General features: G+C 35.9%; 1 protein-coding gene across 12 annotated transcripts in view, besides 1 other annotated feature; it reads right to left on the reverse strand.

Moving 5' to 3' along the window:
- Positions 1–20,054, reverse strand: part of ARHGAP32 (Rho GTPase activating protein 32) — a 314,573-nt gene that overhangs the window by 160,907 nt on the left and 133,612 nt on the right. For 2 of the 12 annotated variants that reach the window (XM_047427928.1, XM_011543073.3), the window contains exon 2: positions 1,246–1,339. The exons of the other annotated variants lie outside the window; for them this stretch is intronic. In XM_047427928.1, the coding sequence (XP_047283884.1) occupies positions 1,246–1,339 (94 nt within the window). The remainder of the gene's footprint in view (positions 1–1,245; positions 1,340–20,054) is intronic. 12 annotated transcript variants of the gene reach the window in all.
- Positions 16,776–17,975: an enhancer, noted in NCBI's record as "CDK7 strongly-dependent group 2 enhancer chr11:129012637-129013836 (GRCh37/hg19 assembly coordinates)". NCBI's record gives its function as "activates an origin of replication core promoter dependent on BRD2, BRD4, P300/CBP, MED14 and CDK7 cofactors, with strong dependence on CDK7, by STARR-seq in HCT116 cells {active_cell/tissue: HCT116}" and the evidence as "EXISTENCE:reporter gene assay evidence [ECO:0000049][PMID:35650434]".

Here is a 20,054-nt window from a genome sequence, read left to right on the forward strand (position 1 = left end):
TTCAATGAAACTTTTTATAAATATGAGGTAACATCTTGTCTTATTTTTCCTCTATCTTGAAACAAAGTTACTTCATAATCCTAGGTATTATTTCATCAGTACTCATCATCATTCAATTATACCCTATCATACTAGAAAAAAATTTTAAGACTAAAATAAAAAGTATATTTTTAAAAAGGGAAAATGAGATAATATCCTAGAAAAAGCGTTGACAAACTTCTTAAAGAGCCAGGCGGTAAATATTTTAGGTTTGTGGGCCACATTATCTTTGCCACTATTCAATTCTGCTATTGCAGTGTAAAAGTAGCTACTTATAAATGACCAAACACAGCCATGTTCCAATAAAACTTGATATGCAAAAACAGGCATCCAACAAGGTAAAGTTCGCAAACCCCTGTCCTACAAAGTTGATGCCACAGTGAAATAAGTTATCATTCAGTTTTTATACTGTGTTGCCTAAACTGCCTCATCTTCAAGAAGGTATTTAAAAAGCTTGGAGACACCATCTTTCTAGTCTGCATTTCACTTTCATTTAATATATTCACTAATTCAATAGTTTTCATTTTCTTTCACTTATAGAAAAGAGAAAAACACTGACAAAGAAAGATACCTTATAATGAACAGATACATGAAAAGGTGGGTACAAAGAGACAACAGCACTCTAGACTCTAATAAAGACGGCAAAACAACCACGTACATGATATATCAGACTAATTATAATATCCTAGATGAATATAGTATTGAGTATTAAGAATTGAGTGAACAATATATTTCTAAGGACAAAAAAGGAAATACAGTATTCTCCAGTTGGTCATTCAACTGAAAGTACTTTTTCATGCAATATTCTGCGACAACCTGGATCACCTGGTTTTGCCATTAAAAAAAAGTGAAAGTGTGACAATACTCTTTCATCTTTTATGATGTTTGTGCACCAAAATTTACTTAACAGGTTCGCCAAGCTTAGATTCTTACTAAAATTTCTAATAAAGTGGCTTTTCACTACTCTGTATTGTTCATAAATTGACTTAAAAATATAAAAGAATAAAAAAGAATCCACTAGACTGAGTTAATAAATGGTGATGACTTTATTTGGTAGACTGGAAATTGAAACGTTAGCTTTCTTTTGAAAACAAGCTCTTTGTGCTAGCTGGGGAGGCCACTGTTCCTAAATACATCTCAAGAGAAAACGAGAAAACCTGCCCAGCCTATAATCCGAATGAGGGAGGAACATCATGTACCACACACCTCTGCAACCACAACTGACTGGACTGTAGATGGAAACATGACCCAAAGGTAAATCCACAGGCTATGCAAAAGGGCCTGACGGGAAAACCTCTGCCTAAAAAGACAAAATGATAATAATTAGGCCAGTGAACCAAACAACGGTCCAAAAAGCTTCAGAGGATTCAAGAAAATATGTTTGAACCAATAGTTCAACTAGTCTGTGCCCATGTATGTTCTGTCCAGCAATATTTTCCTAGAGCACAGAAAAGTTCCAGGAATATCCTAGCCTCTCAGTATATTTTTGTGAATGAACAAATACAATACACTTTAACATAACAAGGTTTTGTCATTTACTCTTTCAAGATGAAGCCAGTAGAACTGAAAGGAAAATACTGTACTATTATTCAATCACCTGATGAACTAATATTTTCACCTACATATTTTAAAAATAAAACAAATTATCTTAAATTTCTATTGAGAGCACATAGCTTGAGTTACTTATTCTGTTGCTCCAAACCAAAGATTAAGAAAGTTCTTTTTTAGAAAATAGTTCATTAACTGATATTTATTCATAAAAATAACAAGTTTTCCTATTTTCATGTTATAATTATCACTTAATTATGCTTCTAAAATAAGAGTTTATAATATCATCAACACAGTAACAGCATCATTCATCAACAGAACATTCAAAAGACCTCAAAAGGCAACTGAACATATGTTCATAAAAGCACGCACCATTTACATTTAAACTCTCTATGTGTCTATCTCTAGCAATTAACTGGCTTCCTGGAAAATTAGACAAAAACATTAAGGAAATTAATGGATTCAATAACAATTTTTATTTCCTCACTCTTCCCTACTTGTTTACACTATATAATTCAACATGTTCATTATCCCTGCCTATACAACCCTGTCCCCAAAATCCAATTCAAATCCACCTAGTCTGTTTAATCCTATACCGATAATTTTGCCAAATGCTGATACTTTCCTTCATTAATCTTTCAAAGGATTTATCCTGTATACAGTATATTGGGGCATTTCATTATATTTTTATTCATCTTTTAATGCAAATTGCCATGTAGTGTTCTCTAATAAAAGACTTTTCCATTCATCAAGAGGATAAATTCCTTGAGCATGAAGCCAATGGAATAACATGTGTACATATTTTACTAGTATTTGACATCCACAATCCCCATTAAAACACTAAAATTTAGCAGCCTTCAAGGAAAACAAAGAAACTGAGTATTGTTAACTACCCTAGAAAAGCACATAAAGATTTTATCTCTGATTTTTAATTCCCCTAGATGACATTATTATCTATGAAAGTCTACAGTTAACAAAGTCATTTTAATAGCTCTAATTTTATGATTAAAAATATTTCCCTCCCCTCCCCCTCCCCCTCCCTCTCCCCGGTCTCCCTCTGATGCCACCAAAGTTGTGAAAGCCGAGGCTGGACTGTACTGCCGCCATCTCGGCTCACTGCAACCTCCCTGCCTGATTCTCCTGCCTCAGCCTGCAGAGTGCCTGGGATTGCAGGCCCGCACCGCCACACCTGACTGGTTTTTGCATTTTTTGGTGGAGACGGGGTTTCGCCGTGTTGGCCGGGCTGGTCTCCAGCTCCTGACCGCAAGTGATCTGCCTGCCTCGGCCTCCCGAGGTGCCGGGATTGCAGACGGAGTCTCGCTCACTCAGTGCTCAATGTTGCCCAGGCTGGAGTGCAGTGGCGTGATCTCGGCTCGCTACAACCTCCACCTCCCAGCTGCCTGCCTTGGCCTCCCAAAGTGCCAAGACTGCAGCCTCTGCCTGGCCGCCACCCCGTCTGGGAAGTGAAGAGCGTCTCTGCCTGGCCGCCCATCGTCTGGGATGTGGGGAGCGCCTCTGCCCCGCCGCCCCGTCTGGGATGTGAAGGGCGCCTCTGCCCGGCCGCGACCCCGTCTGGGAACTGAGGAGTGTCTCTGCCCGGCCGCCCCGTCTGAGAAGTGAGGAGCCCCTCCGCCCGGCAGCCGCACCGTCTGGGAAGTGAGGAGCCCCTCCACCCGGCAGCTGCCCCGTCTGGGAAGTGAGGAGCCCCTCCACCCGGCAGCTGCCCCGTCTGGGAAGTGAGGACCCCCTCCGCCCGGCAGCTGCCCCGTCTGGGAAGTGAGGAGCCCCTCCGCCCGGCAGCCGCCCCGTCTGGGAAGTGAGGAGCCCCTCCGCCCGGCAGCCGCCCAGTCCGGGAGGGAGGTAGGGGGCAGCCCCCGCCCAGCCACTGCCCCGTCTGGGAGGTGGGGGGCGCCTCTGCCCGGCCGCCCCGTCTGGGAAGTGAGGAGCCCCTCTGCCCGGCCGCCACCTGTCTGGGAGGTGTACCCAACAGCTCATTGAGAACGGGCCATGATGACGACGGCGGTTTTGTCAAATAGAAAAGGGGGAAATATGGGGAAAAGAAAGAGAGATCAGATTGTTACTGTGTCTGTGTAGAAAGAAGTAGACATGGGAGACTCCAAAAATATATATATATATTTTACCCTTACTGTTTGAAGCACACTGCTAAATGATCTTCCAGAGGGCCTGATCTAATTCACACTGCTACCAAGTATGCACAAGAGTGCCTATTTTCTGACAACCTCACAAACATTAAATATTATTCAATCTTTACTTTTTTCATTCTGATAGTTACTTCTTCACCTTTCTTTTATAATTAACAAAAGAGTTGAACATAACTTCACATTTTGGTTGGTATGTAGTTATTGGTATGTGTAATACTGTTTTCAACTTATATTCTCTATCTTCAAGATTTTTTAAAAATTAAGTTAAAGCTAGTCATATTTGTATGACATAATATGCCAACATAGTTAATAGCTTTCCATTAAAATTATAAACCTCGAAATTGGAGGCCTTACTTAGACCTTCTAATTTCAAGACTTATTATAAAGCAATACTAAGTAAGACAAAGTGCCACTGGAGTTAAGGATAAACAAATGAATGAAATATAATGCAATCCAAAAAAGGCCCACACGTATACGATAAAAGTTTATTTATGACACAGGAGCCAATGCAATTCAAAAGAACAGCATTGTCAATCAATCAGAACAGTACAGTTTTTAAAAGTATGCAAAAATTAAGAATAAAACTTCAATCTTCTCTTAAATAATATACAAAAATTAATTCAGGATGGAAATTCATTCATTATGAAAAATAAATATTCTAAAAATAAACACAATAATAAATCTGAGGTAAGTAGCAAGAAGCAAAAAAAACTCATAAGCAAAAAAAATTAATACATTCAACGACATCAAAATTACAAACAAGGAAGTTATACTCAACATATATAAAGAAATCCTTGTAACAAAATAACTAATAATCCAATTTTTAAACTTGCAAAAAAAAAACCTCAACAGTTATTTCACAGAACAGAATACTAATAGCCAATAATCAAGCTACTCAGTGTCATTATTCATCAAGAAAAAGCAAAATAAAATCACAATGAAGTAACAGTGCACACCTGCCAAAAAGCCCAAATTAAAAATAAAGTAGAATAGGGTACCAGTGTTGGCAAAGATGCATTGGTGGTTAGAGTATACAACAGCATAGCCATTTGGGAAATTGTATGATAATTAATTGGTAATTCCTACTAAGCATACTCCATGATCCTATGACTACACTCCCAAATATGTATCCCCCTAAATTATTTCACATGTACAACAAAAACTTGTACATAAATATTAACAGAAGCTTATTCATAACCACTAAAAATAGAAACATTACAAATACACAAAGAGCAGAATCAGTGAATAAATTATGGCATACATATATATGCAATGGAATTCTGTGATCGAAAAATAATTATTAATATATTAAACAACATGAATAAATCTAACAGTTGTTATAGTACATGAAAGAAGACAGAAGAAAAAAATCTTGCTGTCTTATTACATTTATATGAAGTTCAAGAATAGGTAAAATTATTCATAGAAATAAGTGTTACAACTGGCTGGTGAGAAATACGAAAAAACCTTACCAAGAACTGTTTTATATCTCGGTGTGGGTGGTGGTTTCACAGAAGTATACAAGACATCAAATGGACAAACATTAGTGCATTTTACTCACTTATGTGTGTGTGTGTTAAACTTCAATTAAAAATTAACAGTAAAAAGGTCAAGAGGAATTTTTATAGAACTTTAGCTGGTTCTACATTCGTCTGGAATAGTTATGATAACTACGGAAACAATGAGAAATGAGAGAATAATAATATTCCATAGAACTGAAAAAGAATGATGTCTTTCACACTCATTTTATAATACCAGTTAACCACAGATATCAAAACCACCCAAAGAAAACAGGACAAGCAGCCTTGGAGAGCCAGAGAATGTGGGCAAAGTCTCCAATAAAAAACCACCCAAAACCACTTTTAAGCAACCAGATCTCGTAAGAACTCGCTCACTATGACGAAAACGGCAAGGGGGAAATCCTTCCCCATGATCCCATCACCTCCCACCAGGCCCCTCCTCCAACTTTGGGAATTATAATTTGACATGAGATTTGGATGGGCCCACAAATCCAAACCACATCACCAGGTGAGTGGTGGTATGGGTACTTAAGAGCCTGAGTGAAAACCCATTTTTGAGTAGAGAAACAATAAAGGAAGACCCTACTGTATAAAGTCTGTGGGGATAACCCTTGGTATTATTTTCTCTCTCTTCTTGCATTACTTAGACCTGACAGCAGCCCAAATCAGGAAAAATAGTGCAAGACAAGACTTTTTTGTTTTTAATTTTTATTTTTAAGTTCTGGGGTACATGTGCAGGATGTGCAGGTTTGTTAGAGGTAAACATCTGCCATGGTGGTTTGCTGCACCTGTCAACCCATCACCTAGGTGTTAAGCCTAGCATGCATGAGCTATTTTTCCTAATGCTCAGTGCAAGAGTTTTAAAACTCTTAAAGAATTTCATCTTTCTCACGAAAGAAAACAAGAAAAGCAGTCTTGGAGAGCCAGAGAATGTGGGCAAAGTCCCCAATAAAAAACGGCAGGCTGGGCGCAGTAGCTCATGCCTGTAATCCCAAGACTTTGGGAGGCCAAGGCAAGAAGATCGCTTGAATCCAGCAGTTTGAGGCCAGCCTGGGCAACAGAGGGAGACCCCATCTCTACAGAAATATTTAAATGTTAGCCAGGCATGGTGGCATGTGCCTGTAGTTGCAGCTACTCAGTGGGCTGAGGTGGGAGAATTGCTTGAGCCTAAGGTTAAGGCTGCAGAAAGCCATGATTATGCCACTGCACTCCAGCCTGAGCAACAGAGCAAGATCAGGGGGAGAAAAAAAAAAAAAAGCAGGATAAGACCACAGTGATCCCCATGAAACTGAACTGATGTTGAAAACACCACCTATAAAAATCTAGATGAAACTTCAATCTGAACCCAGCCAGGCTGCTGTCTAATAAAGCACAAATCAACACTCTCCAGAGGATTTCAATAAGGAGTCAGAGTCTCACAGCATAATATTCAGAATGTCCATGACATAATTAAAAATTACTAGCTATATCAAAAACCAGACAAATATGAGCTATTTCCATAGGAAAATACAACCTAGAAATGTCAAATCTGAAATGAAACAGATTGGACTAATCAGACAAAGACTTTAAAACAGGTATTATAAACACACTGCATTAGATATTGGAACCAATGGAAAGACTGAAATTCTCTTACAAAAAGAAAATAAAAACTATAAAAAACCCAAATATAAATTTTAGAACAGAGAAATGTAGCATCCCAAATAAAAAATACTGGCTTAGCTTAATAAAATACCCTGAGACTGGGTAATTTACAAAGAAAAGGGGTTTAGTTGGTTCACGATTCCACAGGCTGTGTAGGAAGCATGACTGGCGAGGCCTCAGGAAACTTACAATCACAGCGGAAGGCAAAGAGGAAGGAGGCACGTCTTACATGTTTAGAGCCGGTGGAAGAGTAAGCAGGGGGAAGAGTGAGCAGGAGGAAGAGTGACAGAGAAAAGAGTCAGTGAACCTGATAACAGACAAAAAATCATGCAATCTGAAGAAAAGATAGTTAATTTTTTTAAAAGACTGACAAAATATGAACAGACCTATAGATAGCTAACGGACAATATCAAAAGCTCTAACACTCATGTCTTCGAAGTCTCTGAAGATGAGAAAAAACACAATAATACAGGAAAAAAGTGAAATTTCTGAAAACAATACAAATTTATTGAAAGATATATATTTACAGATTCAAGATCACAGAAAACAAAACAAGTAACATCAAAGAAAACTACAAACCAAAACATCATAATCAAGCTGTTGAAAACCAAATATAAAGGAAGTATTCTGAGAGCATCCAGAAACAAAAAAGATACATTATGTATTGGTATGGAGTAATAAGGATTTAAATGACTGTGGATTTCTCATCAGAAACCAGAAGACAGTGGAGCAACGTCTATACAATTCGGAAAGAACTCTCAACCCAGAAATCTGCATCAAGTGACAATATCCTTCAGAAATGATGTAAAAATAAGAACATACTAAGATAAGAGAAAACTAAGAGAATTTGTCACCAGTAGATAGGCTCTAAAAGAAATGCTAAAAGAAGCTCTTCAGGGAGAAGGAAAATAACTCAGGTTAACTGAAATTTGGCCCTTCCGGCATGAAGAGAGAACAACAGAAATGGTGAATAATTAGGCAAATATAACAGATTATTAATCTCCACTTACATGCTTTAAAATATATGTGCCAGTTGAAAGCACAAATTATAAAACTGTCTGATGAAAGTTTATGTGATCTATATAAAAACTTTAACATAACGATGGTAGATAAGGGAACCTCGATGGTGGTAGGATTTCTACATTCTACTTGAAGTATAAAATAATAATTTTAAGTATAATATGAAAAGTTTAGTAAATTGGAACCAAGAGTATGTAAAAAAGATAAAAACACTACGATCAAACAGATCATCCCAAGACTGTAGGGGAGAAAATAATCATATAGTCATCTCTGAGGCAGTAAAAACATCTGAAAAAATTCCAAACCCTGTTCATTAAAAAAAAAGAGAGCGAGAACATCCTTAATGTGATTTTTGAAAAAGTATCCAGAAAGAAACTAAAGGTCTATAGTACTTAATGATGAAATATTTAAAGTTTCAAATTTGGTACCAAGAACAAGAGAAGGATGTATGTACCACATCTATTCATCATTATTCTGGAGTGCCTCACCAGCGTAATCAGGAAAGTAAAAGAAATAAAAGACTGTGCACATGTGAAATTTGAAGAATTCACAAACTCAGAATTAATCAAAGAATGTATCAAGGTCTCTAGGCATAAAGTAAATACACAAAAATTAACTAGATTTGAAACATATTAGCAATAAACATGCAGAATATAAAATTTTAAAACCAATTTTAAAATTCCAACTATAATAGCATTGAAGAAAACATCAAATACCTAGGAACATTTCTAATAAAAAATGTGAAAGACCTTGCTATGTTCTGAACATCTGTGTTCCATCAAAATGTGTATATTAAAACCTAACGCCCAAGGTGAGGGTAGTAAGAGGTCAGGCCTTTGGGAAGTGATTACATCATGATGGCTCTGCCCTCATGAATGGAATTAGTGCCCTTATAAAAGAGGCATGAGCTGTGGGAGCCTGTTTTGTCTTCCACCATGTGAGAACACATAAAAGGTGCCACATCTAAGAAAGAAACCCTCACCAGACACTGAATCTGCTGGATTGATCTTAGACTTCCCAGCCTCCAAAACTATGAGCAATAAATTTCTATTGTTTATAAATTACCAAGTCTAAGGTATTCTGTTATAGCAGCCAGAACACATTGAGACAGAACTCTACACTAAAAACTACAAACATTGTTCAAAAATTAAAGACAATCTAAATAGATATATTATACATGCACATGTGCCTCATTTGCATAGATTAGAAGATACAATAATGTCAAGGCATCAATTCTTCCCCAATATTATCTGTAGACTTATCTGCAGAAATTGGGAAACTAATTCTAAAAATGTATATAGAAATGCAAAAGACACAGAAGTACCAAGATAAGAAGGGCAAAGCTGGAAGACACTACTTATCAGATATCAAGTTTTACTGTAAAAGTATAATAACTAAGACAGTGTGGTATCTGGTCTAAGTCTAGAAAAATGGACCAAAAGATCACAATAGAGAATTCAGACAGCAGCCAACAATATGGTTATCTGACTCATGACAAAGGCACCACCGCAATTAAGTCAGAAAAAAGATGGCCATTTCAATAACTGTACTAAGTCAATCTGATTTCTATATGAATAAAAATGAACGCTGGCCGGGCGTGGTGGCTCACGCCTGTAATCCCAGCACTTTGGGAGGCCAAGGCTGGCGGATCAGAAGGTCAGGAGATCGAGACCATCCTGTCTAACACAGTGAAACCCTGTCTCTACTAAAAATACAAAAAATTAGCCAGGCGTGGTGGCAGGTGCCTGTAGTCCCAGCTACTCAGGAGGCTGAGGCAGGAGAATGGTGTGAACCCAGGAGGCGGAGCTTGCAATGAGCTGAGATCGCGCCACTGCACTCCAGCCTGGGCAACAGAGCGAGACTCCATCTCAAAAAAAAACAAACAAAAAAAGAATGTTGACCCAAACCTCACATCATGCACAAAAATCAATTTTAAATAGTTCACAGACCCAAACATAAAAGGTTAACATGTTCTTCTATAAAGTACCTTCATGACATTGGGATAGGCGAAGATTTCTTAAAAGGACACACACGGAAAAAACAATTATTCCGACACCCTACCGAATTTAATAAAGTGGACTTCACTAAATCTAAGCATTTCTGATTACCAAATGATAAAATTAAGCATTCAAAAAGATAAGTCAGAGTCTAAAAGAAGAAATTGGAAGATATGTCTCAGATAAATGACTAGTGCCCATAATAGATAAAGAACTTCTAAACATTAACCTAAAAAAAGACAACCTAACAGAAAAAAAAGGCAAAACTTGAATGAGCACATTACAAAAGAGGATATCTCAAGGGTCAATAAGAATATGAAATGGTGCCAAACATAAATAATCATCATAGAAATAAGGCCCACGTAAGATTCTATTACACACAGAACCCTGGCACAAAAACTACATATTGCAGGATTTCATGTATAAAAACAACGATTACCTTTGGTGGGAAAGATAATGACTGAGAGGTACTCAAGAGAGATTTCTGAATTTCAGGAAAAGTTCTATGTTTAAATCTGGGTGGTGATCACATAAGAAGAAAACATAAGCAAAAAGTCATAAAGCTGTAAGATAAGGTTTGTGACTTCTCTGTATGTAAGATATACCTAAATAACAAAGTAAATAAAATTAAATGGGAAAAACAGACAATAGCAAGGAAGTGGAAAATTATAGGCTAATCTCATTAAACACAAATGCAAAAAACATAAGCTAAATAGAATAATAAATCAAATCTATCATTGTGTTAAAAACATACATCATAAGTGAATTAAATTTGTTTCAAGAATGCAAAGATGGCTTAATAGAACATCTATTAAGTCTTTAATTAAAATTAAAATGAGGAAAAAGCATTAGATTATTGCAATAGATAACAGAAAAATTGTCTGATAAAACTCAACACCCATTCATGATAAGAACTACCTAGCAAGACTTCTGGTGCAGAGTAGTAGATTGAAAACATATTTACCTCTGCTCTTTCTTGTATCTTACCAAACTAACACTGATTTTTTTAAACCATTTTCTTCTTATACTGACAAAAGTACAAAATGCCATATGCATCCATAAGTATAAGGTTATTCTCTGCAGGACTGTTTCTAGTAACTAAAGGGTGAGAACAACCTAGATGTCTATCAATAAGAAAACAGTTTAATACACTATATTGCATCCACACAATGGAATAGTCTTAGCTATAAAAGGAATGAGGAATACTTCAATTTATTGCTATGAAGTAGTCTTCAGTATATATGAACTGAAAAAAAAAAGCATGGTACAAAAACAGGTTACCTTCTAACTAAAAGACTGTAAATATAAAAATATATATATGTGTTTTCTTACACTTAAAAAAAATGGGAAGATAAACTAAAAACTAATTTAGATGCTTACCTAGGAGGGAACAAAGAGATAGGGATGGAAGATTTTTCTGAATGTCTCAGTTTTGTAGTTCAGATTTTGGGGTCATGTAAGTGTTATAAGTATTTGTAAAATTAAATTAAATTAAATTAAAATGGGATGAAAGGGCAATCCCTAAGATCAAAAAACAAATAAAACAAATGAACTTAATTATAAGTTGGTACCTTAAGCACACAGAGAACAATTACCTCAAATGACAGTGAAGAAAAGTACTAATAATATATTCCTAGTGGGATATGTCCTAGAGATGAAAGGAAACAAACTGTTTGGGAATAGTGACATTATCGTTCTGAAACTATTAAAAGAAGACGATTAAAGCAAACAAATAGTTGTTAATGTCACTAAAAACTAAGGTTTTAATCATAAGAGATACAAATATAAAATCGAAGAAATTAAGGAGAAACCCATATTCATTTCTTTTTTGAGGGTGTGTGTCTGTGTGTTTAAATAAGGCAGCTAGACTGACAGTGGACAGTCACATGCAGATGATGTATTAAATCTTGATTATGGCACAGCATATAGTGTTTTATGATACACGTGTGTAAGATTATAAAATGAGAATTCAATACTAATACAGTTAAATTTGAAGCTGATTAAATACTAAAGAATGTTCAGTGTCAATTACTGTACATTAACATGCAGCAGGAAGGAGGTAGAATATCACAGGGCTTTTTTATTCTTTTCTTAACATTTTAATAAAAGCACATTAAAATATATGACATACATTTATCAAATTTATAGATAAAAGAAAACTGAAATGGACATTCACAAACTGAGTGACAGAATTCAAAGAGATTTTTAAAAGCTGCCAAGACAAACCAAATGAATGTGAAGTTTATCAATAATAAAAACTGAAGCCCTGAATTTAAATTCAAAATTCAATTATATAAGTATGGGGATGGGGAGCAAACTGTTTGACAAGAATTCATGTAACAAGATCTGAGATCTATAGTTTACCACAAGCTTAATATAAGCCACAAGTATACCCTTACTGGTAAAAAAAAAAAAAAAAAAAGAACAATGCCGTCTTAAAAAGTAGAGCATCTCTAACAAGGGAAATATTTGTATCCCTATAATCTGAACCAGTTAAACCACATAGAGAACAGTTCATCCATTTCAGGAAAATACAATTTGATATGGAAAACTTGCAAAACTAGGAATTAGCAATGTTTTATTCTGTCTACTTCACTGTTTCCTAATCCAAAAAAATATTCTACCATTCCTCCACTGTACAGACCCTTTAAAGAATCTTTCAAATAGCTTGTTATCTTGGTCCCATATTCAAAGTGCTAATATTGACTGGGTAACTGTAAACTGACTTAAAAGTAGTTTAACACACTGTGTTCTGATACAGAACCACAAAGCTGGCTACTTCTACATTCAGCCCCACCACAAGCCCATCCTCTCCATATTATTTATGTGTCTAACCCTTTCAAAACACTATAAACTCCATACTGACAGGTATTAACAGAACACCAATGAGTATTACCAATTTTTAACTAAGAAAACAAAATAGCGTATTGAGAGATGTTCAACATAATCACAGAGTTGAAAGATAACTCATTTAGACATTCCACTGTAAAGAGGAAACTGAGACCAAGAAAGAAGAGATTTGCATAGTGTGTTAATCACAGAATTTGAACTGGATTTTTATCACAAAACCTACCATGTCTAAAACAGGCATATAAAAAGTTCAGAAACAATGAAGTTTTAAAAATAAAAAATTAGAACAATGAGAAATAGCTTTCCTCTTATCAAAATTTTATATTTTAAAACTTTCTAAGACTGAAAACAATGGCACAAAAGTCGCTAAACATTACTTATTAGAATATGAATTAATAAAACCCTTTTGGCAAGTAATTTGGGAATCTCCATATTAATTAGTTAAGTAATTCCCTATAAAATAATAGTAAAAAGAAAAAGCAAAACTCATCATAAAGGTATTAATCTAAATGAAAAATATATAACAAAACTCAGTCTTATTAATTAAACAGCAATAATATGTCCTATTACTGTATAGTCATTAAATATGTTTATCAACATTTTCATTTAACATCAACAACAACAGATTATATATATGCTTCCCCTGCCCAATCGATTTTATGGTATATTAGTGAAATTAAAATTTCTAAAATATCTGTAATTTCCATTGACAAATGTCAATTGATATCGTTTGACTGTGTCCCCACCCAAATCTGATCTTGAATTGTAACTCCCACAATTCCCACATGTCATGGGAGGGACCCAGTGGGAGGTAATTAATTGAATCATAGGGGGCGGGTCTTTCTTGTGCTGTTCTCGTTATAATGAGTAAGTCTCACGAGATCTGACAGTTTTATAAAGAGTTCTCCCGCACAAGCTCTCTCTCTTTGCCTGCCGCCATCCATGTTAAGACATGACTTGCTCCTCCTTGCCTTCCGCCATGATTGTGAGGCCTCCCCAGCCATGTGGAACTGTAAGTCCATTAAACCTCTTTTTCTTCCCAGTCTCGAATATGTCTTTATCAGCAGCATGAAAACAAACTAATATATCAATGTTATCACGTTAAATATATTATGAAGTATAAATACCAGAGAAAACATGTAAGACTGTGGTAGGCAAAATTCTAAAGAGGGTCTCCCTTGCCCCCCAAGATTCCCACCCCATGGTTGTTCAATCAATCTAGGTACTGCTGAGAATAGAGGGTGCAAATGTAATTAAAATCCCAGGTCAGTCGATCTTAAAATATAAAAATTATCTGGATAGGCCTAATCTAATCACATGAGCACTTCAAAAGTAGAGTTTTCTCCAGCTGGTAGCAGAAGGGAAAGTCAAAGATTTGAAGCACCAAGTACCACCCCTGGCTTTGAAGCCTGAGGGGGTCACATGAGAGGGAATTCATGCAGCCCCTAAAAGTTATGCCACCACACCTCCCACAATGACAGCCAGCAAGGAAACAGGGACCTCAGATCTACAACCATAAGGAACTGGATTCTGCCAACAGAATCTGCAGATGAGAACCCAGCCCAGCCAATACTTTGATTTCCGCTTTAGGAGACCCTGAGCAGAGAACCCAGTTAAGCCTGCCCAGACTTCTAACATGCAGAACTGTGAGATAATAAATGGGTATTCTTTTAAGCCCTTAAGCTTGTGATAATTTCTTATACATATTCAACAAAAAACAAATACTAACAACATCTAAGACCTTAGGAATTTCTGAGTGCTCTCAGATTTTATATGCTCCTTTATCTCTCATGGAAGTAAAACTCTTTCCCAGGACTTGGGATGTAAAGCCTCAGAAGCTTTTGCCTCCCAGCACTCCCAGGACCCCATTGAATGCAATGACTTCAGTACCATCCCAAACCACCTTCTTAAGGCTTCCTCAAAGGAGTAAGCTATGCACTTGAAGGCAAATCCTAGAGGAAGGAGCAAATTCTGCAGGTGAGATAGGTAACTGGAGGGAGGTACACAGATCTGACACAGTTCAATAACCAGCTCTCCTATCTCCCTGGCAATCTTGCATTTTAAGTGTGAAGTCTACAATCTGTTCCACATCCCATTCTGCAGTTCTCAAGACAACACTCTTTCCCCCTAAAGGGAGGAAAATTTAATTCCTTTCCCTTTCCATGGCAACGTTTTTTAATTCCCCCTTCCAAGGTGTCTACCACTGTGTCCACTAGCCAGTCTTTTTCAGAGATATTTTCCTTCCAGTGAAACTGCCAATTCCTTTACCTATGGCAACTCCCATAATATACAATAGGGAATATGAAGTTTCACCTGCACTGCACAGCACCTTAATAATCAGGTAGAATGCTTATGTTTAAATGGAAAAGCAAGGAAATATAAAATTGTATATTGTCCATAATTATTTTAAAAATCATATTCCCAGACATGATGGGAAAGGAGAATATATCCCAAAGCAATATTCTTTGAAACTAACCATTTGAAGACATTTGTATAAGGAAAAATGTGCTTATACGGATGTTCTGTTAAAAAACTCTCAGCATTGCCATAAAAAAGGATGAGTTCATGTCCTTTGTAGCGACATGGATGAAGCTGGAAACCATGATTCTGAGCAAACTATTGCAAGGGACAGAAAACCAAACACTGCATGTTCTCACTTATAGGTGGGAATTGAACAATGAGAACACATAGACACAAGGCAGGGAACATCAGACACCGGGGCCTGTCATGGGGTAGGGGGATGGGGAAGGGACAGCATTAGGAGAAATACCTAATGTAAATGACGAGTTAATGGGTCCAGCAAACCAACACAGCACATGTATACCTATGTAACAAACCTGCACGTTGTGCACATGTACCCTAGAACTTAAAGTATAATTAAAAAAAAAAAAAGAAAGAAAAAATGGTTAAGATGGTAAATACTATGTGTATTTTATTACAATTAAAAATAAAATATATAAAATCAAAAAAAAAAACTCTCTGCATTGTAAAAAGCCTATACCAAAATAATCTCACCACCATGGGAAATAGGATTATGGGAAAGCCTCTTTTTTTTTTCTTTTCACTTTTCTGTATGTTTTATTTTTACAAGGGAAAGGGCAAAAGAGATAAAGGGAAAGAAAAAGGAAAGAGAGAAAGAGAAAGTCACAAGCTAGCTTCTTCCTCCTCTGCGTATTACTTACAGCAACCATTTGCAAATGTAAAACAACCTGTCATAAATCAATGAGATTAGATAATCTATATAACTACAATGTGCAAAGCTAGGCATTCATATTTATGGTCAGGAAAGAACAAGAATAAAAATGCTTCTATGAAGAAATTTGCCCATGTTATAGTAGTAAAAAAGATTTTTTTGTTAATCACTGAACCAAATTATGAGTTATCTGATATAAGCTATCTGAACAGTAGTGGAGACCCCTCTCAAGGCAGAAAAAGAGAGGAAGAAATACCCCGGCTCTTCCCCTCTTTCCGCCCTCCTGTCTTCCACGTGTGCTTCCCATTTGCCAAACCGAGCCAAAAGCCTGCTGGCAAAGGAGCCTGAGAAATGTTATTTGCCAGGATCGGCCTCCTACAGTAGAGAACAGAGCAGACAGAAGGTAGGATGTCCCAACTCCAGATCTATGACATTAATTACTGAACAGTACAGACATAATTACATATACAGTACAGGTTCATTTACATAAAACGCTCTCATACTTTGACAAGGCACCGTAGTCAAATAACATACATATGTATATTTATATACATGAGATCAACTGAATAAACAAGGTTTCAATACTAAATTTGTACTGTCATGAAAGGCAAACTACTAATCAAAATGAGTAGTTAATAATTAAGAACAATAAAACATCTGAAATTGCCATGGAAAATCAGAAATAATATCACCCAATACACATTCATAAAGGACATCAAAATGCAATCAGTGTTAAGTATATGCTGCTATCAAAGTGGACCAGGATTGCTCTTTTTCTTAAAGGAAAAAAAAAAACCACTAAAATATGCATGGGGAAAGTATAATAAGACTTGATCAAAGTGTTCTTTCTGTATAAGGCTAACAAAAAGCATCTGAAAATAATTCTGAGGAAAAAGTGACTTTTTGCCACTTTTCACTTTTTTTAACAGATTCAAATTTTATTTATTGTATTATCTTTATCATTTGTAGTCAGAATTTGACAGAGGTCACAGAAGCTTTAGATTAATGTTATAAATATTTCTTGAAATGGTGACAAAAATATCATTTCTGCTTAAAATATAGTGATGAAGGGGAAAAAAATTTGGCCTCTTAAATAGAAAAAAAAATAGCAGCTGTCTATATGCTGGTAAAACTGCATATATATATATATATAATCAACTGAATAAACGAGATTTTGATACAAAATTTGTGCTGTCAAGAAAGGCAAACAGGACTGCCAGTTTCCTGCAGTTTAACCATAAGAAACACACATAATGAATTTCTGAAATGACATGTTTTAGAAGATTTTACCATTGGTCTAAGTATTGTCCCCTTTCTTAAAAAGAACAGAGACAATGTAGGGGAAATCCAATAAGTAGTCCTCCTTTATCTGTTATTTCACTTTTCACAGTTTCAGTTACCCATGGTCAACCTCGGTCAAAAAATACTAAATGGAAAATTCCTGAAAAAAACAATGTATAAGTTTTAAACTGCATGCAGTTCTGAGTAATGTGATGAAATCTCACACAGTCCCGCACCGCCCCACTCCGTCCCGCCTGGAACATGAATCATTCCTTTGTCCAGTGCATCTACACTGTGGACTACCCGCCGGTGACTCACTTGGGAGTCATCTCAGTGACCAGACCAACTCTCATGGTATTGCAGTGCTTGTATTCAACTCACGCTTCTTTGACTTAATAATAGCCCCAAAGCACAAGAGGAGTGATGCTGCCAACATGGATATGACAAAGAGGAGCTGGAAAGTGCTTCTGTAAGTGAAAAGGTGAAGTTCTCAACTTAATAAGGAAAGAAAAGAAATCATACACTGAGGCTGCTGAGATCTACAGGAAGAATGAACCTTCTATCCATGAAACTGTGAACAGTATATCATTATAACTGTTCTGTTTTATATTAGTTATTGTAAATCTCTTACTGTGCCTAATTTATAAATTAAAGTTTATCAAGTACATATGTACTAGAAAAACCACAGTATATATAGTGTTCATTACTATCTGCAGTTTCAGGCATCCACTGGGGGTCTTGGAACATATTCCCCTTGGATGGAAGGAAACTATTGTACCATCAGAAAGATAGATTTATTAAAACTGTGTTATATTATTTTGAACAACAATGTTACTAAAGTGATTCTTAAAAAATAAGTATGTCACAAGGAATTCAAATAACTGAGTTACATGTGTGAATATCCGCAAAAGAATTTTGATATAACAAAATAGACTTAATGCTAAAAACAAACTACAATTTTCTTTACTTATTCAAAATTGTTGCAGGTCCTTAGAAAAATCATCACTGTACAGTACTAAGGAAAAAAATAATTAGGCTTTTACATGTTTATATATTGTGAGTTCAGGTATGAGTCTCCACAGAATATGGCAATAATTATTTAAAATACACAGACACTTTCTAAATCGAATCTGTGAATGCTGTTTAGTGGTTTCTCTCAAAATTCTTTTCAGCGTTATGCACCTCCATCAGACTTGATAACAGCCTAGCAATTTTACTAAAAAAACACTTCACATATAAGAAAACTCAAGAGCTCTGAACTAAAAATAGTGCTAAATGGGGAATATTTCCTAATGTCTTAATATCTGGGCACCACAGACCAGGCTCAGGAACACATCCTCCCATGTGTTATCTAGCACCACCAATGTGGAAGTGCCAAAAACCAGAAACAGGAATCAAAGAAGGTGACAGGTAAATTTCAGTAGCTGGTAATTCACAAACACAGAAATAGCCATCAAATAAGCCCCAAGGGTAAATTGTATCACTATTCTTATTCAATTCTCTATTTTGAGTGGGAACAACAGGATGAGAAGACTGAAGGAAAAAACATGATTTCTGAAAGTGATTATAAAACTAGCTCTTCTGCAGCAAGGGTGTTGCCTTAAACTTCACTTCTAGAAAATATCTCCTCAGAGAGCCAATTAACCACAGGGAAAAATTATTCGGAGGCGATATTTAAAATAATTTGGAAAAAACTATTAGAAAGCACCATTAGCATAATAATCACAACTCCTCTGCTAGGCAACAGCTGGTTAATCAACCTAAAATTAACACATTTACATATTAGCAAAGCTTTTAAATGTTATACTTTTCTATAACTGAGATTCATCCTTTCCTTCATCTCAGTCCCTTATCATTAAAGATACTCCTAAATTCAGAAGGCTCGCTAAAAATACAGGGTTCCAACAATGTATATAATTTTACCAGACATTTTATACAAAGGTTCCTATGAAACTCTAAGAACTTTACCTTTACAGGTACTTTATTATGGTAAGTTATTGTCAGTCTTCAGCGCTGCTAGAAAATGATACTGATCTCTTTCTACACTTGAATTCTGTGTACATTAGATTTACTAGTAAAAATGTGCATGCAATATTTAAAGATATATTATAAATATAAATGATATAAATTCTGGGAAAAGAGTATGAATAGAAGAAGGGTAGAAGAAAAGAAAGACCACAAACTAGATGTTTATTTTGAAAAATTTCTAATAAAGGAAGAAATAGCAAGATCCTAGACCACCATGACACTCCAAGTAAGACCTAGAAGAACCATTGTCCCTCCACCTGCATGTTTCATGTAGTTTTTTCCTTGAATATCTTGTAAGTTTTAAAAATTTTTTGAAAGGCTATACAACAAATCATATCAGTAAAAGCAACATCCAGATCACCTAACAACTTAAAGAGCATGCTTGAAATATAGTTTTCAGTTTAATGATTAACAATAGTCACATGCTTAAGCATTGGTTCAACAATTCAAACGGTTATAGGCCTTACGTTATGAAACTGCCAATTGTTAAAATTTTGACCTATAAAATTATCAATTTCATAGACTCCAACTATCAGAGTTCTCAGTAACGTATTAAATAACTTCAATAATTAATACCACTTGATTCATGCCAGAGAAGTCACAGAATCTTTAGCCAGAGAAGTCATAGAATCTTTAGCCAGAGAAGACGTACCACGGGAGAGGATAGGATAGAGACAGACTTAACAGTTGTTTACTGAAGAGCTCCAAACAAACTGGCAAAAATTCAAAACCTGGGCTTTGCATATTAATCAATGGTTACATTTGTGATGGTTCA

Source organism: Homo sapiens, chromosome 11 (genome assembly GCF_000001405.40).
Source record: "Homo sapiens chromosome 11, GRCh38.p14 Primary Assembly".
NCBI lineage: Eukaryota > Metazoa > Chordata > Mammalia > Primates > Hominidae > Homo > Homo sapiens.